The sequence below is a fragment of the Homo sapiens genome, chromosome 5 (genome assembly GCF_000001405.40).
Source record: "Homo sapiens chromosome 5, GRCh38.p14 Primary Assembly".
In the NCBI taxonomy this organism is placed as follows: domain Eukaryota; kingdom Metazoa; phylum Chordata; class Mammalia; order Primates; family Hominidae; genus Homo; species Homo sapiens.
This window is the reverse complement of record NC_000005.10, coordinates 2,852,963-2,876,351: the sequence shown is the minus strand read 5'-3', so window position 1 is coordinate 2,876,351 and position 23,389 is coordinate 2,852,963. Positions and strand designations below refer to the sequence as shown.

The window sequence follows — 23,389 nt, the reverse complement described above, 5'->3', positions numbered from 1 at the left end:
TCCACCTGCTTCCAGGGCTGGTGGGTGAGAACAGGAAATCCTGTGATGTCTGAGCAGACCTCTGCAACCCAGACTGTTGCTGTGGCGGTGCTTGCTGCAATGGAACCTCTTTTACTATGGCTTGTTGCGATGTGCCCAGGCTATGTGCTTCTCTTCAACGGGTTCAAACCGAGACGAACCATAGAGCATGGAATCATGGTTCCATTTTTTTGTTTTCCAAAGCCGCCAAACAAGTGTAAATGTACCTGGCTTACCCCATTAGCCCCATTTCAGCTGATCAGTGGTAACAGAGCCAGTATTGGCCTAGACAAGCTACGAGAACTGGGTCTCTGAAGGCCGGACACCTGAAGAAGCTTCCCTCATCCAGCTGGTTTGTTTACCTTTGTAGTCATTGATTTGTCACTCAAAGGCTTTGGTGGAAAGACAGATCATGAGCACCCATCATACCAGTACAGTTGCCTCCCTGCACTGCGGTGACAAGCCGCCAACAGTGGACTTCACGTGGGCAGTCGTGGAGAGATGGGGGTCTTTGTTTCATGTACAGCAACTGTGCAAGCTTGAGGAAAGACAACGAAACAGTCACCACCTGCTGAAACAGGTGTGCTCAGCTTCTCTTGTCTTCTGAAGCCCCACATTCAGTGTACCAAAGAACTTAGATTCTCCTACAGTAAAAACAGAAATTCACATTCTTGCCCAAAAAACCCCAAATTTATATATGTAATGACATTGTGTTTTTAAAATTATCATTTGTGGTAAGCTTTAAAGACAAAAATACAGTAATATTTTATAGCGTCGATTTTATTGCTATTGGTTAAAACACAAACACAATAAATCTGTTATTAGTTGAAAATAGTAAGTGTTGAGTGCATTTTTTACACTGAGTGTATATTGAAAAACACAAAGATAGCACACTTAAATGCTTCTGCAGCATTAACTGCAAAAAGGACTTACTGCCTTGAATAAAAACATACAAGGTGAAGAATGCCATCATTCATTTGAATTACCAAAATACTCTTGACTACCTTTTTGCTGTAACAATAAAATGTAAAAACAATTTCATCAAGAAAAATTTTATATATTAATTATTCTTAATTTTTAAAAAATGACATCATGTATTCTGTGTGGCCCCTCATGGTGCCCATGGTCAAGTCTCTGCTCTCCTCCTGCCCTGGGCGATTCCATAAATCCAGGTTGTTGGTGAGGGTATGAAGGAACAATCCAGAAGGTGGCCCTCAGAAAGCAGCAGAGCCTCCCACAGGGCCGTATAGGGAGAACACCCCTTTTTTCCTCTTGTCCGAGGTTTCCTTCCTAGATATCTTCCAAAAGCGTAGAACAAAGAGGTGGTATGAAAATGCAGCAACACAATTCATTACCAGCACTGCGTTGAGGCTCAAGTGCATCTGTGTACACATTGCACGTGTTCTTCTCTGTCTTGCTGTGGCACAGTCTCCAACTGCTTCCCAGAACCTGTTGCAGGGAGAAGTTAGTTGGGGCAAGGTGACCAATTTCTACACTTTACTTGCATTTGGTTTTTTTGCAGTGCAATGCCGGTACCATCAGAGGAAACAGAGCACAGAGGTGCAAGTCTGAATTCCAGGACCCAATGCGGGGTATGTATTCCAACCAGGCCACTTTCAGGCTGCCTGCTCGTATGTTGGCTGGCCGTGATCATAGTACCACCCTCACAGGGTTTGTCTTAAATCAATGCAAGAATCATATTGTAAATACTCAAACAAGTATTAATGATTATTTTGACAGCACAAAAACCTTCACCTGCATGGCCTGTATATGGAGGTAACTTTTACATTCAAAGATGAGCAGGAATGATTTCCAAGAAAGGGATACATTGCCAAGGATGAACACCCTCTCCTGCATTTGCTCACAAGCAGACGCTTCTGTCAGCTTTGGCGAGGTTCTACTGCAGTAAGGGCCAATCCTAACAGCTCCATGCTGGAAAATGTCCAGGCTTATCACTCATTACATGCCAGTCATAGATTGACTGCAGCTCGCCCCACATCTTTCTTGTCTTCTGGGCTCCAGGCTGAAGGAGCAGCCCTGTTCCCGATGTGCTACCCTTGGGGTGGAGGACAGAAACACTATGCCTTGGCTTTGAAAGCTTCTGCTCATTAATGTCATGCATCATTTTCACTGACATTTCATTGATCAAAGCGAGTCACCTGGCCATGCCTGCTGTGTGTGTGGTCACGGGGATGGGGTAGAAAAGATGAGCAGTTGAAGTATAATCCCCTTAAAGGACAGGCAGTAAGTCATGGGGAACAACAGCACAATCTGGAAGAGCAGGTGTCCCAGTGACAGACTAATAAGGTTTGGCTCTGTGTCCCCACCCAAATCTCATGTTGATTATGATCTTCAGTGTTGGAGAAGGGGCTTGGTGGGGGGTACTGGATCTTGCAGGCAGATTTCCCCCTTGCTGTTCTCATGATTGTGACTGAGTTCCCACAAGATCTGGTGTTGAAAAGTGTGTAGCCTTCTCCCCTTCACTCTCTGTCTCCTGCTCCGCCATAGTAAGATGTGCTTGCTTCCCCTTCACCTTCCACCATGATTGTAAGTTTCCTGAGATCTCCCAGCCACGCTTCCTGTACACCCTGTGGAGCTATGAGTCCATGAAACCTCTTTCCTTCATAAATTACCCAGTCTCAGGTAGTTATTTGTAGCAGTGTGTAAACAAACTAATACACAGACTCTAAACACAACCACTTCTCTGCTGGCAGTCATGGGCATTCAAAGTTTGGACTAGAGGTTTCTGCTGGAGCAACAATGCAGGTAATTAACGGTGGGCTGTGTCTGTGCTCACACAGGCAGCTCGATACACAGATGGCACATGATAAAATGGGGTGCAGAGTATTTTAAAACCACGTTAAATACTGTAAGCACGTTTCCATGCATTGCTAACAATAATTGCAATCAGCGCTTCTGAATATGCATAATGGGAGTGGAGATTTTATTACTAAAATATCTACATATCTAATACCAACATTTAGCTACTAATAGCTCATTTCTAACACTAACTGGCAGCCAGTGATCAAGCATCTATGGCCTGGGGGAAGAAACCCCATTACTTATACTGAAGGACAATTGCTAAGAACTCACCCCTCAAGTCTTGTAGCACAAGAGAACACAAGCATCGCTAACATAGCATTGGAAGCTGGCAAGGCTTAGGTGACATTGCTCTTGGGTGTAGAGAGAGAGACACAGCACAAGGTCCTTGTGTAGGAGTGAACAAGAATTATGCACAAACATGGCCATAAGTAGGAACACACACTGTTTCTTACTTGGGTGAGGAGGCAGAGCCAATTCTAGCTGTGCCGGTGCTGCTGCCATGATGGATTCCTCTGTGAGAGAGGGAAGCATAACTTCCTTGCTCAAGCCAGCACTGGGACTGGGGCTGAGCTGGTGTGGGATCCTTGCTCCTTCATCTGCTAATGGCACATGGAAGTGCTCAGTGTGCGCCTGCGGAACCAGTGGGTAGATCGGATATGGATTTAGCCCTGAACTCAGCGGGATGTGTAATGAAGGAGACTGTTCGGCCAATACGGCCTGCAAAGCACTGTTAAAACACCTCCAGAGGCAGAGTGGCAATGAAGCTGGCTCCCTCCACTGCTATAGGAATGAGAGCTTCCGCTGGCACTGAAGAAGGAGCAGCAACACCTTTTGTTTTGTTTTAAGACGGAGTTTTGCTTTCGTGGCCCAGGCTGGAGTGCAATGGCGCGATCTCGGCTCACTGCAACCTCCGCCCGCAGGGTTCAAGAGATTCTCCTGCCTCAGCCTCCCAAGTAGCTGGGATTACAGACATGTGCCACCATGCCCAGTTAATTTTGTATTTTTAGTAGAGATGAGGTTTCTCCCTGTTGGTCAGGCTGGTCTCAAACTCCCGACCTCAGGTGATCTGCCGGCCTTGGCCTCCCAAAGTGCTGGCATTACAGACAGAGCCACCGTGCCGGCCTTTTTTTTTTTTTTTTTTTAAATGGGGACAGGGTCTTGCTCTGTTGCCCAGGCTGGAGTGCAGTGGCATGATCTCAGCTCACTGCAACCTCCTCCAAAGTTCAAGACATTCTCCTGCCTCAGCTTCCCAAGTAGTTGGGATTACAGGCGTGTGCCACCACGCCCAGCTAATTTTTGTATTTTTAGTAGAGACGGGGTTTCACCATGTTAGCCAGGCTGGTCTTGAACTCTTGACCTGAAGTGATCTGCCCGCCTGGGCCTCCCAAAGTGCTGGGATTACAGACCACCCCACTGGGCCAGCAACACCTACTTATATGCTGTGTTGTGATTTGTCTGTTGAGTGGATTTCTTAAAACCTGTTACTCTTCCTTAAGTAATCCCAGCCAACTCTTCAGTTTGGCTTTATATTTATCTTGTCTCTACAAATTGATTGTAAATGACTTACGTTTACATTGATTTGCACACAAATAGCAATAATAATAATAACTCAGCACTGTGAGTTAACCCTGCCCCAACACCTTCCATTCCTCTCATTTACCTTCCACCCGGAGGAAGCGCTTCCTACACAAAAGGGCATGGAGACGTTGGTGAAGGTGCAGTGCTGTGCTCCAGTCACGCAGTGGGTGAGCCATGGAGCCAGGGTTTCAGCCTGGTTCTGCTAAATCCCAAGACCAAGAGCTGAACTCTGAGGCAGAGTTTATCTGATGTCACTGGTTGGACCAATTGATGAGCAGTAGATTTTCACATCAGCTACAGCTCAAACACTGGCTTTCTTTGGGAACCTCTGATTTCCTTATTTGCTTACTAGACTTTACTTCTCCCTCCACCCTTGGAGGAGAACTCATTTATTTTATGATGCATGCCCTTGAATCACTCCCATAAACATATGTGGAAAGGTCAGAAGAGGTCTCCTGAGTGCCTGCCTCCCATAATGGCACTGCTGCTCATTGAGAAAATCCCTGAGTGCTGGAGGTAGGTGGCTGGCAGCCCGAGTGCTGGCTTTTATTAATGTAGACACTGTGCATAATATGCAAAAGAAACCTGGAATCAAACACAAGAGCGTATGTTTAATTACATCTTTAAAATAAAATGTAATTGTTACTCAATTGTCCCTTTCTAATGATTTTCTAAAAGACAATTAAAAATATATACTCCCATGAATAAAAAAGGAACCTACCATTTTACCATATTACAGTTCATGTGTTTAAGAATAATTGAATCTCTGTCAATTATGATTCCAGTAAATTATAAGAAAGATCCATTCTTAGCTATGTGAATGGGAATTTAAAGCTGGCATGGTCAGACACTGCACAATTACTTTATCTAATAAATTTATGACCTTATAATAGGCTCTTACCAAAGCACTTTCTCCATATAATTGATCATTCAGGTTGACCCACTTCCTGGGTGCTTGCGTCAAGGACTCCCTGGAAGTGTGAACAGGTAATGCTTCTGTTCTGCTCTTCCCTGGGCTGTTCGATCTTGCCCCCTGACCCTCGCCCTCCAACCCTCCATGGCCTGCACCATCATTGCTATCCAGCCACCATGTGCACGCCACTGCCCTGCACCTCCTAGGATCTGTGCCGGTAGCATTCATTCAGTATTCGCTTCCACTCTCAGGCTGCACAGCTCCCAAATCTTCTGTCAACTGTATGGTTTTACCTTCCACATTAGGTCTTTATTCTAGCTTGGATCTGCCATTGAATATGGTGTAAGGAAGGAAGGAGCTCTAGTTTTCTCCATATAGTGAGTCTCTTTTCCCAGAACCATCTGCTGAACGACAGATTCATTCTCTACTGATATTAGCACCACGGTGCTCACGTACTTAGAACTTACATTTGCACATGTAAAGGTCTGCCTCTGTGCCCTCCACTCTCTTCCACAGCTCTCTTTGCAATGGTCTTATGTCAATCCTGCACTGTTTCTATTGGGATAATTATGGACATCTTAATAAGTAGGAGGGCCAGCCTGTTGCCTCGTGTTTTTTAAGGTTAACTTAGATCTTCACAAGATTTTATTCTTCCATTAAATTTTAAGTTTATATCCAATTGGAATGTTGATTGGGATTTCATTAATTTTATAGATTTATTTTTGGGGAACTCACATCTGTAAATGTAAAGCAGTCTCAGGTAAGAACATAAGAAATTACCCCATTTATTCACATTCATTTCTATGTCCCGTATCAGAACTTTAAATGTTTTCCCATAGCAGTACTGTGTGTTCCTGGTAAAAATTAATCCTGGATACTTTATAGTCTTTGTAGCTTATGAATGATTTGAATTTTCTGATTGGCCATTGCTGGTTCAAAGAGATGCTATTGATTTTTGTGTCTGACAACATTTCTGGAATAGAGGTTGTAGTAATTTGATAATTCTGTTATTTTTTTCTGGGTAGGCAATTATGTCATCTGCAAATAGTGACCTTTCTAGCTTTCCTGTCTGTCTCACCAACACCAAAACTAAAGCAGTTGTGGCCATCTGCTATGCCTCCCTCATGGGTGGTACTGGAGATGAAAACCTCCTTGTTCCTTCAGTGCCCACCACACACCTGGATTAGTCTTGATGACGAGCCTGAGAGGCAGGTGCTATCACCTTCCCCCAGGGTGGAGCGTGGCTTAGAGACACAGTGTGACACTAGTGCACAATGGCTGTGCCTAAGTATTCTTCTGATGTAAGAAGGTTCCTATCTTGTCACACTTCTCCAACCCAACCCCACCATCTTTAGTTCCTCACCGTCTCTCCCCCGAGGAAGCTGAGGTGCCTCAGCCTCCCTGGCTACACTCCAGTTCACCATATTACCGCTGGGCGGTCCTCTGAAAGTCTCACTCCTTTGCTATGTCATAGAATGCATGTAGCCATCAGCTCAAGCCCATCTTCCCTCAGCACACATCCTAATCTAGCTGTGCTCCTTTTAAAATGTGACCCTTAAACTGGCATACAATATAGGCATGTTACCAGGGAGCTCAGGGTCCTGAAATAAGACAGAGTGGAGCATTCTATGGTTTCCTTCATCCAGAGACACGCATCCCCTGAGAAACCTGGAGGTTCCATCGTGGATTGGAGGTGAGGGTTTGCCCTGCTGCACTGTGGTCTGGTGGAAGGCCATAGGCAAACCTCACATGATGGGTAGGAGCACAAAAGACAGCCTGGCACCCAGAATCACTCAGGCCAGACTGTGGTCCTCCCGGCCATTCTCGCTGCCTCCTACTTCCTTTATCCAGATGCTCAGGAATCAGCGCAGTTACACTCAGACCTGGGGCAGCTACAGCCAGATCTGCAGCAGTTACAGTCAGAGCGCGCCCCCCACTCCCCCTCTACAACCCCGCCACATACACACATTTACTCAAAGGTCCTTGAAAACCATAAAAGGGTGAAAGGAAGAGACTCTACGTGGTATGGATTTTCCACGCCAGCCAGGGATCTGGAGTCTGTGAAGCCCGGGTGATGTGTTGATTTTGCTACTGGGTATCAGTGAAACTGTAAACAAGTTATAAAAGTCCATTGGTCTCCACCAAATAGGGGTGCTTCTGGTATTCAATGAAACATGTAGGAAGGGCTTTATATGTATTAAAAATACAATCATTTCTGATTTTCCCTGTGAGTTCAAACTAGGAATCCTTGAAGCAACAACTCAAATTTCTTTTGTGGACTGAGCCAAAAAGCATATTTCCATGGATTCAGTGGCCCAGAAAATCTTTTTTTTTGTTTTTTTTCGATGGAGTTTTGCTCTTGTTGCCCAGGCTGGAGTGCAGTGGCATGATCTCAGCTCACTACAACCTCTGCCTCCCATGTTCAAGCGATTCTCCTGCCTCAGCCTCCTGAGTAGCCAGGATTACAGGTGCCCGCCACCATGCCCAGCTAAGTTTTTTGTGTTTTTAGTAGAAATGGGATTTCACGATGTAGGCCAGGCTGGTCTTAAACTCCTGACCTCAGGTGATCCACCCGCCTTGGCCTCCCAAAATTCTGGGATTACAGGCATGAGCCACCATGCCAGGCCAGGCTCACAAATTCTTAACATTTGCTCTTTGAAAGCTGGAGAAACCCGCACCTCATCATTGCATAGTGGAGTGTATGCATAGAGACGGAGACACTGTGCCACTCAATCAGTTCCGAACTGGCACCTCTCAGTATTTGTTTCCAGGAGGAAGAAAATCACAGTGTGAAGGATATTAAGTGGTTTTTGACTGTTAAAAATCATTATAAAAGCACCTGGCTGAGAAAAGGCAAAGGAAAGTGCAGGACTCATGGAAGGGATTTTTGGGTCAGTCCCATCCCCCATCATGCCTGTAACTTCCCTGCACGGGCATTGCCAGGCACAGCCTCCCAAGACGCTTTGGAGTTTGTTTTTTGTTGTTTTTATTGTTTGTTTGCTGCCCTAAACAATTCTCATTATGTGTTTATATCACCCAAACTGTCAAAGGCAGGAATATTGGACTGAAAACTCTGACTTCTGAAAAGCAGGACAGAGGCAGGAGAGAGCAGGACACTCGTTCTGCCTACACATCCCCTTGGGAAACACGGATTCCGCATTGGGTGACAGGTTTTAAGGACTCGGAGGTTCCACAGCTCTCACACCTTTCCTCAGCTGTGCTTCTGGAAGCTTCGCTGGTTGGAGCCTGTCCTCGGAGGCTCCGGGGCACCAAGCCTTTCCGCTCTTCCTGGTTGATCCCATCAAAGCCAGAAAGGCAGACAGAAGGCAGGGACCTGCCTTGTCCTAGGCTGAGAGGGAAGGCACAGAAGGTGGGCTTACAACACTGCCCTTGGAGGCTCACTGACACCTTGACTCTTCTGTACATTTAAGAACGATGGCTGGTTCTGCAAAACACGTTGGGCATTTTCTGCCCACAAATGTGCAGCTGCTGAAGCACACGCTGGCTTTCCTCTGAGACTGGCTTGCAAAGCTAACGCCATCCAATTGTTTCTCTTAGATTCTGCAAATAAAAGTGACGACAATTTATCTCTTCCACCTGCTAAAAGACGTTGGGTTTTCCAGGAAGACCAATTTCTTTCCAGAGAAATACAGACTGCATGCTCTCCCCATGCCCCTCCTCTCAAATGTCAAGTCCGGCTGTTGCAGTTTTGCCTTCAGGAAGGCAGGCAGAGGGTCCGTGGAGAGGTGGCAGGTGGGGAAACCGCATTCGTAGGAATGTCGGGAACTCTCAGGAGAGCTGTTGTGTCTTCATCGCTTTCCGGGCTCCACCATGGTGCTCCCTGATTCTGACTCCAAAACAAAAGTGACTTATTTCACAGTCCGAACAAAACTCAGCAAATTGGCTTCTTAGGCTCAGTTATCCTCGAGCTGTCTCGGCCAAGACACTATAAAGAATCGCCTTGTAGGCTTTGGCTGGGAAGAGCAGGCTCTGATCTGTTCCTGCAACCTCACAGTATTTGAACTTTATGTTTCCCTGGGCACTGCAGAAAAGCCTTTTGCTCCTGTTGCTCTTGAAATAAAAGGCAGTGTTCTCTATGAATTTTTAATACCACACACCCTTTCCTCCCGGAGCTGGCAGGCGAGTCACGTCGGAGGCCGCCTCTCGCGTTTGAACCTCAAAACAGCGCAGCTTCTGTTTGCAAACACGTGTGGGCCGTGCGTGGGGGTGACTTCCCTGTGTGTTTTGTGTTCCCCGATGACAGATGCAGCCGCCACAGAACGCCTTGGCAGTGCTGCCCAGGAAGCAGTGCCTGGGAATACATTATTCACGGTCATTTTGTTCAAAATCTGACGTTTTGGACAACGTTCCTCCTGCATCATTACCCTACGGTGCGGTTGCCAAGGAGCGTCTTCTGCGGTTGGATGAACGCCGTGTGCCCTGACCCACCCTGGCCAATGCCTGGCACTGGAGCCAGGGGCTGGGTGTGGCGGCTACACCTGCCGGGGCTGACGTGGGAAGGAAGCAAGCTCAGAGGTAAGGAGTGACGCCCGCCAGGACTAGCTGATGGAGCCATGCCTGGCCTTTCCCCTTGCACAGAGTGCTGACAAAGTGAGGTCAGAGGAGGCTGACGTTTATGGCCAAACTGGGAAGCAGATGCCTAGTGACGGCCCTGCATCGCTCATCACGGTTCATCGGCCCTCTCAGCGCAGGAGATAGCATTACCTGCCTGGTGTCAGGCGGGCGCTGATGGCTGCTGGGAGATGAGCCCTGTCCCCAGCCTCCAGACCAGATGATGGCTGCTTGGCTGATAGGATCACCACAGCTCGATCATCATCAGAGGCGGCTCCATCCCTCTGCTCCACAGGATTTACCTGCCGGAGACGCCTCCTCCGTTTTGTGTTTCCAAAGACAGCAGGTGATGAACAAGAGGAGAGGCTGGAGGACCGTGATCCATGCATGCATGTCCTCACGCCTGGGGGTTTGTTTGCAGGGTCTCAGTTTTGAGGTTGGTGTGGTCACCCCTGGCACCACTCTCCTCCTCTTCTTTCTTCTCGACCAACTCCGGCTTTTTCTCGCAATTTCATCATGGGGATGACGACAGAGACTTCCTCTTCAGGTTGCTGTTGGTACTGAATGAAATAATCCATGCAGATCTCGAAGGACAGTGTCAATCCCATAAAAGGCATACACCAGGACTGGGCGCTGTGGCTCACGCCTGTAATCCCAGTACTTTGGGAGGCCGAGGCAGGCGGATCACGAGGTCAGGAGATCAAGACCACGGTGAAACCCCATCTCTACTAAAAAAATACAAAAAAAATAGCTGGGCGCGGTGGCAGACGCCTGTAGTCCCAGCTACTCAGGAGGCTCAGGCAGGAGAATGGCGTGAACCCAGAAGGCGGAGCTTGCAGTGAGCCAAGATAGTGCCACCGCACTCCAGGCTGGGTGACAGAGCCAGACTCTGCCTCAAACAAACAAACAAACAAAATGGCGTACACCAATAGCAACTATGATATTTCCTCAACTGTGTGCTTGCATCAAAAAGTAGGACTATGTCAAAGGCTGGATGCGTGCTAGTGATAGTGTACCTAGCAACAGAGATGAATAGTCTGAAAATTGTCGTCGCAAATGTAAGCCCTGAATAACCTGCAGGAGATAGAAAGGCTAGTTGGGCGATTCGTGCTGTGCAGACAGAGCCTAGTTAGACTGGGAAGAGGGGATCCTCTGGTTTCGTCATCTTGGCTTACTGAGTGTTGTTTGTAGAGAGAAAACAGGGGGCTAAGGTCTTAGAGCCCTCTCCAGTGACAGGCGGGAAATGAAGCATTATTCCCAAACCACTGGACTCACGGAATCTAAGCACTACGACTGTGACTGGAGATCCCTGAAGCCAGCCAGGTGATATTGGTGACCACCTGTGAGTCAGCACTTACAGGACAGCTTGCATTTTGAGAGTCGTTCATACCAGCCACTCCTGTTTAAAAGGAGAGGCTCTCTTCCCGGAGTTTTGAATGAGAGCACCATTGCCACTGCCGCCTCCTCTCCCTGTGAAAAACTGGCACCAATGAGCATCCCTGGCTGCTGCTGATTGGCGAGCCCAGCTGGTTCCAAAGTCCACGCCTACCGCTTAGTTTAAGAAAGCCCCGTTTTGCCTGCAGCTTGTCTTCCTGAGCTGATCACAGACATACCCAATCACCTGCTTCTTAGCTCATAGGAATGGCAGCTCCCTGATTCAGGGGGCATTGCTAGCTGCAGTGCTGGTTTGCCATGTCCTGTCTGGGAGCATCAGCACTGTCCAGCCTGGGCTTCCACGGTGGGCATCCACGACCCTGGGCACACAGGGTCCTGCACGTTCCTCCTACAGACAGCTTGTCTCTTTTTGGACAGTTGCTCAGGTCTCGTTGGCTCTGTTTTTGGAGTAGGATGAGGCCTGTTTGGGTGGGGATTTCCCAAGCCCTGTGTCTCGAGCGGGAGGCCGTTTGAGTGTCTCTCTATATTTGGGCATGCCCCAGTCCCCTTCCACTGCTACTTCAACAGCAAAGTTAGCTGGAAAAAAATTTAAATATTGATTCTTAGAAGAACTTACACACTTACAAGTCTGGGGCCCTTCTTGTGGAGATTCTTTTAACTGAGCAAAAGAGTAGTTCTGAGTAGGTAACATGTGTCCCCGGTACAAGACAACATGTGATCACGGCACAAAAGGGGTTGAAGTAAAAAGTCACCCTCCCCCTGCCTCTGCCCCTCAGTCCCCTCACCAGAGACAGCTCTGGCCGGCAGCCCCTGCACCCACCCTCATCCCACCAAGCGGCTGGAAAGGAGGCGTGCATGGGGCCTCGCGGAGTCTGAGTCTGAGTCGACCTCTTAGGTCCCTGGGCCATCGCACTGGGTTGTATCATCCTAAGAAACATGGGCTTCTTTGTGCCCTTGAGGGGGCTGTAAGAGGGCCTGCCCCTGCCTCCCCCTCCCCCTCCCCCCAGCATGAAGAAGAAAGACCACTCTAACTGCCCTCTGAAGAAAGCATCTTCTTATCCGTTGGCCATTTCAGCTCAGACAATGACCCAGAGGGAGGCCTGGATGATGTCGGGGCAGAGGCAGCTCCTGCCCCATCCCAGTTCTGCCTCCAGTCACTCCGGCCCCTCCTCGAAGGGAACCCGTGCCCAGGGGACTGCCCTTCTTGGGGAAGATGTAGGCAAGGACCCGGTGGGACCCCAGCTCTCCTGGGCTTGGATCTCTGCAGCCCACAGCTCTCTGTGCCTCCATTGCTCAGCTGTGCAATGGGGATTCTAATGCCCATCATGAGAATGACAGGAGAAAATGCATTTTAAAGCCGTGGCCCCCAGAAGGGCCACACATGCATTAGTCTGTTCTGCGCAGGGCAGATGTGGATCTGGAGGTCAAAACACCCAGAGCCGAGTCCCAGATCTGAACCCTACCAGCCATGAGACGTGGACATTTCCTCTCCACTACTGCACACGGAGGGGGAGGCCTCAGAGCTGCTGGGAAGTTGGAGCCAGTCCATTCATGTAAAGCATCCCCAGAGTCAGGTGCTCCATCTTCTGTCTCTCCAGTGCCAGGACACCAGGCTCCATGCTGAGAGCTGCAAATACAGTTGCCAACAGGGTGCAAGGAGCCTGGCCCCCAGGGCCCACATTCCTGGATAAGGTGGGAGCAATCCACTGGCCCCCTATGCACAGATACCTATTGAAGCCTGCTGGCACTGTGGCTGTGGCTGTGGCTGGCACTGTGGCTGGTGCTGTGACTATGGCTGTGGCTGGTTTTGTGGCTGGCACTGTGGCTGTGGCTGGTGCTGTGGCTGGCATTGTGGCTGTGGCTGGCACTGTGGCTATGGCTGGCACTGTGACTGTGGCTGTGGCTGGCTCTGTGGCTCTGACTGGTTCTGTGGCTGTGGCTGTAGCTGGCACTGTGGCTGTGGCTATGACTGGTACTGTGTCTTGGCTGGTGCTATGGCTGTAGCTGGCACTGTGGCTGTGGCTGGCACTGTGACTGTGGCTGTGGCTGGCTCTGTGGCTCTGACTGGCTCTGTGGCTGTGGCTGGCACTGTGGCTGTGACTGTGGCTGTGGCTGGTGCTGTGGCTCTGACTGGCCCTGTGGCTGTGGCTGTGGCTGGCTCTGTGGCTCTGACTGGCTCTGTGGCTGTGGCTGTAGCTGGCACTGTGGCTGTGACTGTGACTGTGGCTGTGGCTGCTGCTGTGGATGTAGCTGGCACTGTGGCTGTAGCTGGTGCTGTGACTGTGGCTGTGGCTGCTGCTGTGGATGTAGCTGGCTCTGTGGCTATGGCTGGCACTGTGACTGTGGCTGTGGCTGGCACTGTGGCTCTGACTGGCCCTGTGGCTGTGGCTGTGAGTGGCACTGTGGCTGTGGCTATGACTGGTACTGTGTCTTGGCTGGTGCTATGGCTGTAGCTGGCACTGTGGCTGTGGCTGTGAGTGGCACTGTGGCTGTGGCTATGACTGGTACTGTGTCTTGGCTGGTGCTATGGCTGTAGCTGGCACTGTGGCTGTGGCTGTGGCTCTGACTGGCCCTGTGGCTGTGGCTGCTGCTGTGGATGTAGCTGGCACTGTGGCTGTAGCTGGTGCTGTGACTGTGGCTGTGGCTGGTGCTGTGGCTCTGACTGGCCCTGTGGCTGTGGCTATGACTGGCACCGTGGCCGTGGCTGTGGCTGGTGCTGGTGTGATCGCTGTCAGGGGAAGGCAAGGACTGGAGTAGGAAGAAATGGAGTTGGAAATGGTATTTTAGGAACAGTGGCTCTGGAGTAACTTCCTTAAGGAGCCATGTGAAGGAAGGGAGGGAGGGGCACTGGGACAGGAGTTGGATGGCAGGTCCAGCTGGAGGGAGGGGCAGAGAGTCTGAGAGACAGGGCCCAGGCTACTAATCTGGGATCACCAAAGAAGCCCATGTTTACATAAGTAATTTGGAGTCAGAATCCCAAAATTATCCCAGAATCATTTCTACAAAATTCAAACTCCGTAGCCTAGAGTCGCTTAAATATAATGTGAGTCAATTAGAAAATCCTTATGAAATATTGTCACAGAAGCGATTCCACTTAACTTGAAAAGGATTATTTGTATTTCATTTCCTGGGGAGATTTCATCCTAATAGCCCAGATAACATTCTAAGTTTGTAATACTCCCGTAACTCTATGAAGTGTCCCACGGAGACAGGAGCAGAATGACTAACACTGTTCCCAGCAGAGCGACTGGTGTTTCAACTTCAGATGGGAGGGGCCGGGTTTCCGGACCAGCCATTCATCTAAACCACAGAGCAGTTAAGGTTGTCTGCACTCTATGAAGCATTAATTCATGATTTTCTTAATATCTTATTGATTCCCCCGCTCCAAAGGCCAGAGGTTAAAAAACTCCATAAAAATGTCCTGGCAATTTACTTCTGTCCCTTTAAAGCCTTACAGGAAACTTACAGTTACTTGCTTTTTTCCGTTGTCTTTTTACTTAAGGTTGCCGTTCAAAATGACAAATCTACCTTTTCTATGAACTTTGTATGAACTTGTTTTTAAATTTAATATACAGAGAGTTCTTGAATGGTTATAGATTCACATTCTCCATAAAACTATGGGTGGTGCAGGAGATATGGCCTGCTGGGCCCACGTAGAGGTCTGGATGACCAGTTGCACCAGAAAATCCTCTTCAAGTCAATATGTGGGATGACACCAGCTGCCAGTACTAACCACGTCTGCATTACCTCACTGATCCTAAAAAAATACTTTCAAAAATAGACAACAAGCCATTATTTATATTTCTAATATTGGTTTTCTCTGTTTTGTGTTTGTTTTGTCTTTCTAAATTTTCAATACTTTTTTAGGCAGCGAAAACTGGAGCCAGCAATCTTGAGGCTAGGGAGACTCATGCCTTGAACTCTTGGCTAAGTTAACTGGGTTTCTCGCCATGCTGCCTATTAATTTTGACCATAGTCCACTTTTTCTTTGTTTGTTTGTTTGTTTTTAGACAGCCTTACTCTGTGGCCCAGGCTGGAGTGCAGTGGCATGATCTTGGCTCACTGCGACCTCTGCCTCCCAGGTTTAAGCAATTCTCATGCCTCAGCCTCCTGAGTAGCTGGGATTACAGGCATCTGCCACCATGACCAGGTAATTTTTGTACTTTTAGTGGAGACCAGAGTTCACCATGTTGGTGAGGCTGGTCTCGAACTCCTGACCTCAAGTGTTTCACCTGCCTCTGCCTCCTAAAGTGCTGGGATTACAGGTGTGAGCCACTGCGCCGGGCCTCATAGTCCTTAAACAAGGCGACTACTACCTCTTAAGCTGAATGTTAGATTAACTTTCAACCTGAAGGAAATTTATCAGACAGGAGCAGAAAATCTTGACGCAAGAGATTACAAATGAAAACCATTTTGTAATTTCAGGGAAAATGTTGGTTACTGTAAAGGCTATAATGAACAGGTGAAAAATGTCCTTTAAATTACATTATTTAGCTTGAATAGGCACAGACTTGAGGGTTTTAATTAACCTGACTAGGAAAGTAAATAATCTCAAATTACGATTCTGCACAGCTCTGCTGTATAGGCTGATAATGTGAGGTCTAGGGCTCTGACCTCCACATGGGTGGCGTGGGGGCTGACCTTTATATCTGTTTCCCGGACGACCGAGGAGGACACCAGGAGGGCCGTCCACTCTCTCACCATTTCCTGCATGGCTATGGTTGATTCGGTGAGAAACAAAGGGAAAGAAACTTGGGCCAGGGTGGGTCCTGCATCTCACCTGTCTTTGGACACTGGAGTTTGCCCAGTCCAGATGCCCCTGAAGGAGGGCCGGGGTGGTTGGCTCATTCCTGTTCCTGCAGGAGCCTGCACTCCCATAGCCAGCGGATCTGGAGAACAGGCGAGGCCAGAGAGCTTGCTAGAATGGTGTCAACAATCTGTTCTCATCACAAGTTAGCACGATTTTTTAATAAATAACCACTAATAGATAGGAAAGAATGCTTTCTAGTTATGTATAAATACTAAATATAACACAAAATAATATAGTATATATTATTAAATGAAACTAAAAATAATATTTAAACTCTTGATAACAAGAAAGTGGAATTTGTTATCAGTCTTTTTGACAGGGTTAGAAAGGTTACCTGCAGCAAATAATTGATTATAGCTAAATTAATTTTGTTTGATTTCAAGTCTTCTGGAAAGTTCTGTGTTGGTGCAATAGCTCTTGGTAATAGTAATGATAATAATTTTTTCAATAACATACTGCATCATAACAATAGTATCTCCTTCATGAAGAAGAAACTTAGGATGGAATGTCAAGATATGTTCCCTTTCTACCCCAAATGTCATAAAATAATAAGTAAAATATATCATGCAAGAATAAATCCTGGAGATGATTAGACAAAGGGAAGAATACACAACAGGTAACAGAATGTCCTCCCCATCAGAAAAAAAAAATTGAGAAATTCTTAGAGACCAATCAGCTTTAGAGAAAACAAAACTGAGAAATCACAGTCCAAAATACAGACAAAATTCCTTCATAGATGAAAGTGATTCCAGAGGTTCTCCACTGAAAACAAAAGGAGAAATAAACTCCATTAAATAGAAGATTATTATTTGCTGCAGACAGCTGTCTAAGATACCAGTTGCCTTCTGGAGAGTGGGGCCAGCAGGGTGCAGTCCCTCACTGAGGGGGCACTGACCGGAAGTCAGAGCCTTCAGAACTTCCTTCATGATGGTGGAATGCAGCTCACTCACCCAGGCCCACAATCACAGGGGCAGATGCAACCAAGAGCTCCCAGGGGCAATGCCGGGTGAAGGCAGAACAACATGCCAGCAGGCATCACCCTGCAGAGGATCAAAAGACACACCTCCCCAGACATCAATGCACAGACAAGCCTCACCCCATGTTTCAGAAGCATCAATAATTGTAGAGATTCTCCCTGAGACTGTGGGGCGGGCGGGGGGAACTGCCACAGATACAGGTAGATAGAAACAACCCCAAACCTAAACTTAGAAAAATAAACACTAGGAAAAAGAAGTATCAATCTTAATAACAGGAGAACTAACATCGGAGAAAACAGAATGGTTCACAATGAAAGATATTTTAAACCTAGAACACTGTCTCAAATAAGATGTCTTTAAATTTGAAGACAAAACAAAAATTGTCAAATATGTAGAAAAGCAAACTCAGAAAGTTGCCACTAGGGAAAAAAATGACTGAAGGATGTTCTTAAGCAAAAACCAAAAGCAAGTCTTCAGAAAACAGTGTGGGATTTATGAAATTATGATGAAGAAAGAAATAAGTAAGACTCATCTTTACATATATAAAATAATTGAGTCCTAACAAGACAATGCTGATAGAAATCTATAAATGGTATCTGAGATGGTTTTAACATGAAAGCTTAGTGTGGAAGCTTAGTGAGAGGATATAAGATTTTTATCTCATACAGGAAGATAAAATTTATTGAATTTGGGTAGTCATAGAAAAAGTATGTTTAAACAATACAATTTAAAATTTGTCTAAGTTAATTAAATATGCTAAAATATTAAGAGAACTACCAACATAAGGCAACAAAATAAATCTAAAGATATTTAAGAACAATAATCATGGTGAGTTGGTTAAACTCAACTGTTTGAAGAAAGTGTCTAAGAGTAAATAGACTTCCTGCCTATATTCCACTGAAGAGTAAGTTAGTTACATATCACGGTGTAATAAACCACCCCAAAACTTAGTGGCTTGAAACCAACATACAGGTATTATCTCACAGTTCCCTGGAGTCAGGAATCTGGGCATGGCTGAGCTGAGTCCTCCAGTTCAGTCACTGCTGCAGTCTGTGTGCTGGCTGGTGCTGCAGTCTCAGCTCCAGGCTTGACTGGGGAAGGATCCACTTTCAGACTCACTCAATGGTTGTTGGCAGGACCTAGCTCTTCATGCGTCTTTGGACTGGGGGGTCTCACTTCCTGTCTGGCTGTTGGCAGGAAGCCCCCTCAGTGTTCTGCCACACAAAGCTGGCCTCTCCATCAGGTGGCTCACAACAGGGCAGCATGTTTCATCAGGCAGAGCACACAAGAGGAGCCCAGGAGGGTGAGCACGATCTCTGAGTAGCTGCTGTCCCTTTATCACCTAGTTGAGGGAATGGTAATCCACCTGCTTGCAAGATTCAGCCCAGAGGAGCAAATCACTGGCTCCAGCCCACACTCAAGGACTTGGATGCTAGGAGGTGGAGACTGTTTCTAAACATAGGAAGGGATTCCCACAGCAAGTAACACACAAACATTATGCAAAAAAAGAAAATGCCCCAGCATGAAAGTGATAAGGAATTATCAAAGAAAATAGCACCCAAGAAAAGAGTGATTAAAAGGAACAAATAAGTTTTATTATTATGTTGCGTGTTATATGAATAAAAATAAGAATCTAGCAAGAAGTTACAAATAAATAACCTTTTTATCTAACAATAAATTTAGAGACAGATAAAGTAAAAGTTTGTAGAAATATAGAGAAGAGTTTGAACATTCATTCTTCGCTCAGATAAAGTATCCCCAGAGAAGTATGAATACATGTTTGATTTGAAAGACAAGCCTGAACTAAAAACAATTGCTGCTGCTGGTGTACAACAAGCAGAGTGTATATGTTATTTTGAAACATGAAAAAAGTACAAAAACTGATATGAATTTAAGAGGTCCTTAATATTATGCAAGTAATATCTCTCCCCAGTAGAAATCAGCACACTGAATTCTCCAAGAACAATAAAAGAGAACCCGGTGAACATTTCAAGGAAAACTCAAAACTTGGAAATTTGAAAACACTCTACTGACTATTTTATTTTTATTTATTTATTTTTATCTTTATTTTTTGAGATGGAGCCTCACTCTGTCACCCAGGCTGGAGTGCAGTGGCACGATCTTGGCTCAGTGCAACCTCCGCCTCCCAGGTTTACGCCATTCTCCTGCCTCAGCCTCCTAAGTAGCTGGGATTACAGGCACCCGCCACCATGCCCAGCTAATTTTTGTATTTTTAGTAGAGATGGGGTTTCATCATGTTCGTCAGGCTGGTCTCTAACTCCCGACCTCCGGTGATCCACCCATCTTGGCCTCCCAAAGTGCTGGGATGACAAGTGTGAGCCACCGTGCCCGGCCCTATTGACTATTTTAATCTACTAACTCATAGCTTAAAATAAGAAGAAAGCTTTTAAAAATGGAATTCATCCAGTATAGGGATGCTAAGAAAAAAGTTACTCCCAGACATTCCTGGTGGGGCTGTGAATTGCTCGATTTTGGACCAGCAATCTAGGAGCAACTGTTAAAATTAAAATGACATACTGTGTGGCCCCAAAACCTGACTCCTGGGAATCGATTGCAACTAATTAAAATCACCAATATCTAAGAAAGTTTCTGAAGAATATATATATTCCCATTATTCGAAGTAGCAAAACATGAGCAACGAGGCGGACGTCCAAGAGGAACTGAAGAACGGATCACAGTTCCGTCTGACCACACGAGGTAAAGCAGCCCAACGCAGGGTGCACGGGGGTTGACGGGACACACCAGAGGGGCCAACACAGGCCGTGTGCAGTGAGCAAGACAAGATTTGGAGCGGGGTGGAGAAAACAGTGCCATCCCTACAACAGGAACGACCCTACCCTGTGTGCACCCACATGGATACATAGATACACGTGCCATTGTCCACATGGACAGTCCACAGAGGAGGGGAGGCCTTGGAATTCTCGCTTAGGGAATATTCAGGGAAAATGTCAATGTAAATGAGGGCTTCTTTGGGAAGAATGAGGCTTCTCTTGGAATGTTTATCTGAAAATTAATGCAGCAATGTACTAGGAAGCTTGAGAAAATCCTAAAACCGTGGAGAAGAGGAAACAGAGAACAAATTGGATCCAGGATTTCACATTCATTTCACCACATGATCTTTCAAGTTTTACTGTTTTCCTCCTTTCTCTCTCTTTCTTTCCTTCCTTCTTTCCCAGCACTGTTGATTTCTTTTTCCTTTTGTTCTCTGGGATCCTGGAAGGGAATGGAACAATGTGTTTACTCTCCCCTGTTGAACCCTGGTTCTCTCCATTGGAGCTACCTACTTGTATATTTTTAACTTTGTTACAATTAGACTGAACTGATTTCTTCTTTCTTGTAAACTTAAAATTAACCAAAATTACATTAGAAACGGAATGTTTGCATCTAGGAGGGAAGCTACCTCAAGCATAGCTCAAGAACAACAGTGACAAAATGATCAAGGGTGAGGGAATGGCCCCAAATTACAAAAAGGCAGCTGTTGGGTTTGCATGTCTGATGACAGAGCCTTGAAGAGATTTGGCCATGCCATTCCTAATTGACCGGTGCTACAGCTCCTGTCCAGACAGGCTCAGAGCCCTGGGAAAAAGGCGCCAAGTCCAGGTGTGTGCTCACCCACGGGGCCCCCATCCTGGAGTAAATGGAGCCTGTGCCCCGAGTACCTCAAGTTTTCCAAAAAACTCCACCAAGGCCCTGAATATGCCCAGGACCCTGGCACATTGACATCTGGGGGTGGGTCTTGGTTCTTCGGTTCCTCTGTGTCTACCTAGTATGAGTATAATTTATAGGCATACACTTCTTAACTGCAAAAAGTCCTAAAGACCACAACTTGATCCTTCAAGCAATGGTTAAGCAACAACAACAACAACAAAAATCCCATATAGACACTGGAGAGAGATCGCTTTACTTGAGATCAGGATTCTTGAACAGAATAACAGTAGTACTGAGCTTCCAGTCTCAGCAGTATTTGTATAGAAAAATTGATTAGGGACAGTCTTCCTAGAAAGGCGCTCCTACCCCCATTGCATACTATTTTGCATTATTTAGGAAAGAAGCAATGTATAAAAATATATTTGCATGTTCAATGAATTTCTCCTCCCCAAAAGTTCATTTTAGCACGTGGTTAATTACAGGATTCTGTTCATTTCCTTTCTGTTTAAGTTTCTAGTCTCAGAAATCATTAACTGCTCATTTGAAATACAATTTGAGAAATAGAAATTATCCATTATGTGGGATTATGCATGTCTCTTCCAAAATGTTTTAAGGGAATACATTATAATATAATAACTCAATCTCTAAGTGCTGAGGTGGGTAAATAAGAATTTAAATGACAGAACATTATTCCAGTTACCTAAAGTCACGCAGCTGGGGAAAGCTGACACTCACCCTGAGTTGAGTGCCCTGGGCAGCGAGAGACCACTCTGTTGGGCACCTGGTCCTGCAGGGAGGAGCTGGAGCCAGGTGTTCTCAGGGCTGGTAGGGAGGTGGTGCTGATATTGAGAGGTGAAGCCAGCTGGGCTCCTGGGTCGAGTAGGGACTTGGAGAACTTTTCTGTCTAGCTAAAGGATTGCGTGCTATGTGTCTAGCTAAAGGATTGTAAATGCACCAATCAGTGCTCTGTGTCTAGCTACAGGATTGTAAACGCACCAATCAACACTCTGTGTCTAGCTAAAGGATTGTAAACGTACCAATCGGCACTCTGTAAAAACACACCAATCAGCAGCCTGTCTAGCTAAAGGTTTGTAAATGCATCAATCAGCACTCTGTAAAATGGACCAATCAGCAGGATGTGGGCAGGGAGAAATAAGGGAATAAAAGCTGGCCACACCAGCCAGCAGCAGCTATCCACTGGGGTCCCCTTCCATGCTGTGGAGCTTTGTTCTTTCGCTCTTCACAACAAATCTTGCTGCTGCTCACTCTTTGGGTCTGCGCTAACTTTATGAACTGTAACACTCACTGCGAGGGGCTGTGGCTTCATTCCTGAAGTCAGCAAGACCACGAACCCGCCAGGAGGAACAAACAACTCCAGACGCGCCACCTTTAAGAGCTGTAGCACCCACTGCGAAGGTCTGCGGCTTCACTCCTGAAGTCAGCGAGACCAGGAACACACTGGAAGGAAGAAACTCTGGACACATTTGAACATCTGAAGGAATAAACTCCGGACACACCATCTTTAAGAGCTGTAACACTCACCTCGAAGGTCCACGGCTTCATTCTTGAAGTCAGCGAGAACAAGAACCCACTGAAAGGACACAATAAGGTTCGGCTCTGTGTCCCCACCCAAATCTCATCTCGAATTGTAATCCCCATAATCCCCACATGTTCAGGGCGAGACCTGGTGGGAAGTGACTGGGTCACAGAAGTGGTTTCCCCTATGCTGTTCTCGTGATAGTGAATGAGTTCTATCGAGATTTGATAAGTGGTGGTCTCCCCTGCTCTCCTCTGTTCCTGCTGCCTTGTGAAGAAAGCACTTGCTGCTTTTTTGCCTTCCGTTATGATTATAAGTTTCCTGAGTCCTCCCTCTGGAACTCTGGGTGGCCTCACCTTGCTCTTCATCCAGGATAGCTGGTATTCTTATAAAGAGACACACAGGGTTCACTGTGAGTCAACTAAACAATTAAACTTGTCTCCTCTATAAATTACCCAGTCTTGGGTATTTCTTTATGGCTGTGTGAAAATGGACTAATACACATGGCATATTTACCTTAAAGCCCATATGCTTGTAAGAGCCTCAATTCGCAACTCTCTTCCTCTTTCATCTTGCACAAAGGGTGCAAATGTTCTAGGAAGGGGATTGTCAAAAGTCCCAGCATACCTGAGAAGGGCCCAAGTCTTCCCAAAGAAGCGCAGGATTTTAAACAGAGCCAGTTACATTGAGCAGGAGGACAAAGCAGATGCAGAATGGTGGGAAAGATCCAGTGCAGCTGCTCAGTTTATTCTTACCCCACAGGTCCCCTGAAGGCCCAGAACCTTCCACACATTGCAGTCATCCTGCCGGGCATCCTTCCACCCAGGGGGCCCACTCTGTCTGTCCTCTGGACCAGACTCCCCGCTCCCCATTCAATGTAGAGTTGGATGCGGTGCCCTGGGAGCCACATGGTTTATCCTGAGAGAATCTTGCCCAGGGGTCTCAGGGAGGAGTTGGTCACAGAGCATAAGTGCAAGCAGTTTGGGGGTGGGGGACATCTGCACCTTTCACATGGAGCCACAAGGACACAGCCTTCTAGGACTGGCCTCAGCATCTGCCAGTCACGCCGCCTTTCGCAGCCCTCATCCTCCCCTGCT

At 46.8% G+C, this 23,389-nt stretch overlaps 4 annotated features.

Annotated features, from left to right (window-relative positions):
* Positions 11,068-11,805: an enhancer, noted in NCBI's record as "H3K4me1 hESC enhancer chr5:2864661-2865398 (GRCh37/hg19 assembly coordinates)". NCBI's record gives its function as "activates a minimal SCP1, AML or CMV promoter by ChIP-STARR-seq in primed H9 embryonic stem cells {active_cell/tissue: H9 hESC(primed)}" and the evidence as "EXISTENCE:reporter gene assay evidence [ECO:0000049][PMID:30033119]".
* Positions 11,806-12,543: an enhancer, noted in NCBI's record as "H3K4me1 hESC enhancer chr5:2863923-2864660 (GRCh37/hg19 assembly coordinates)". NCBI's record gives its function as "activates a minimal SCP1, AML or CMV promoter by ChIP-STARR-seq in naive H9 embryonic stem cells {active_cell/tissue: H9 hESC(naive)}" and the evidence as "EXISTENCE:reporter gene assay evidence [ECO:0000049][PMID:30033119]".
* Positions 12,544-13,281: an enhancer, noted in NCBI's record as "H3K27ac-H3K4me1 hESC enhancer chr5:2863185-2863922 (GRCh37/hg19 assembly coordinates)". NCBI's record gives its function as "activates a minimal SCP1, AML or CMV promoter by ChIP-STARR-seq in naive H9 embryonic stem cells {active_cell/tissue: H9 hESC(naive)}" and the evidence as "EXISTENCE:reporter gene assay evidence [ECO:0000049][PMID:30033119]".
* Positions 13,282-14,020: an enhancer, noted in NCBI's record as "H3K27ac-H3K4me1 hESC enhancer chr5:2862446-2863184 (GRCh37/hg19 assembly coordinates)". NCBI's record gives its function as "activates a minimal SCP1, AML or CMV promoter by ChIP-STARR-seq in naive H9 embryonic stem cells {active_cell/tissue: H9 hESC(naive)}" and the evidence as "EXISTENCE:reporter gene assay evidence [ECO:0000049][PMID:30033119]".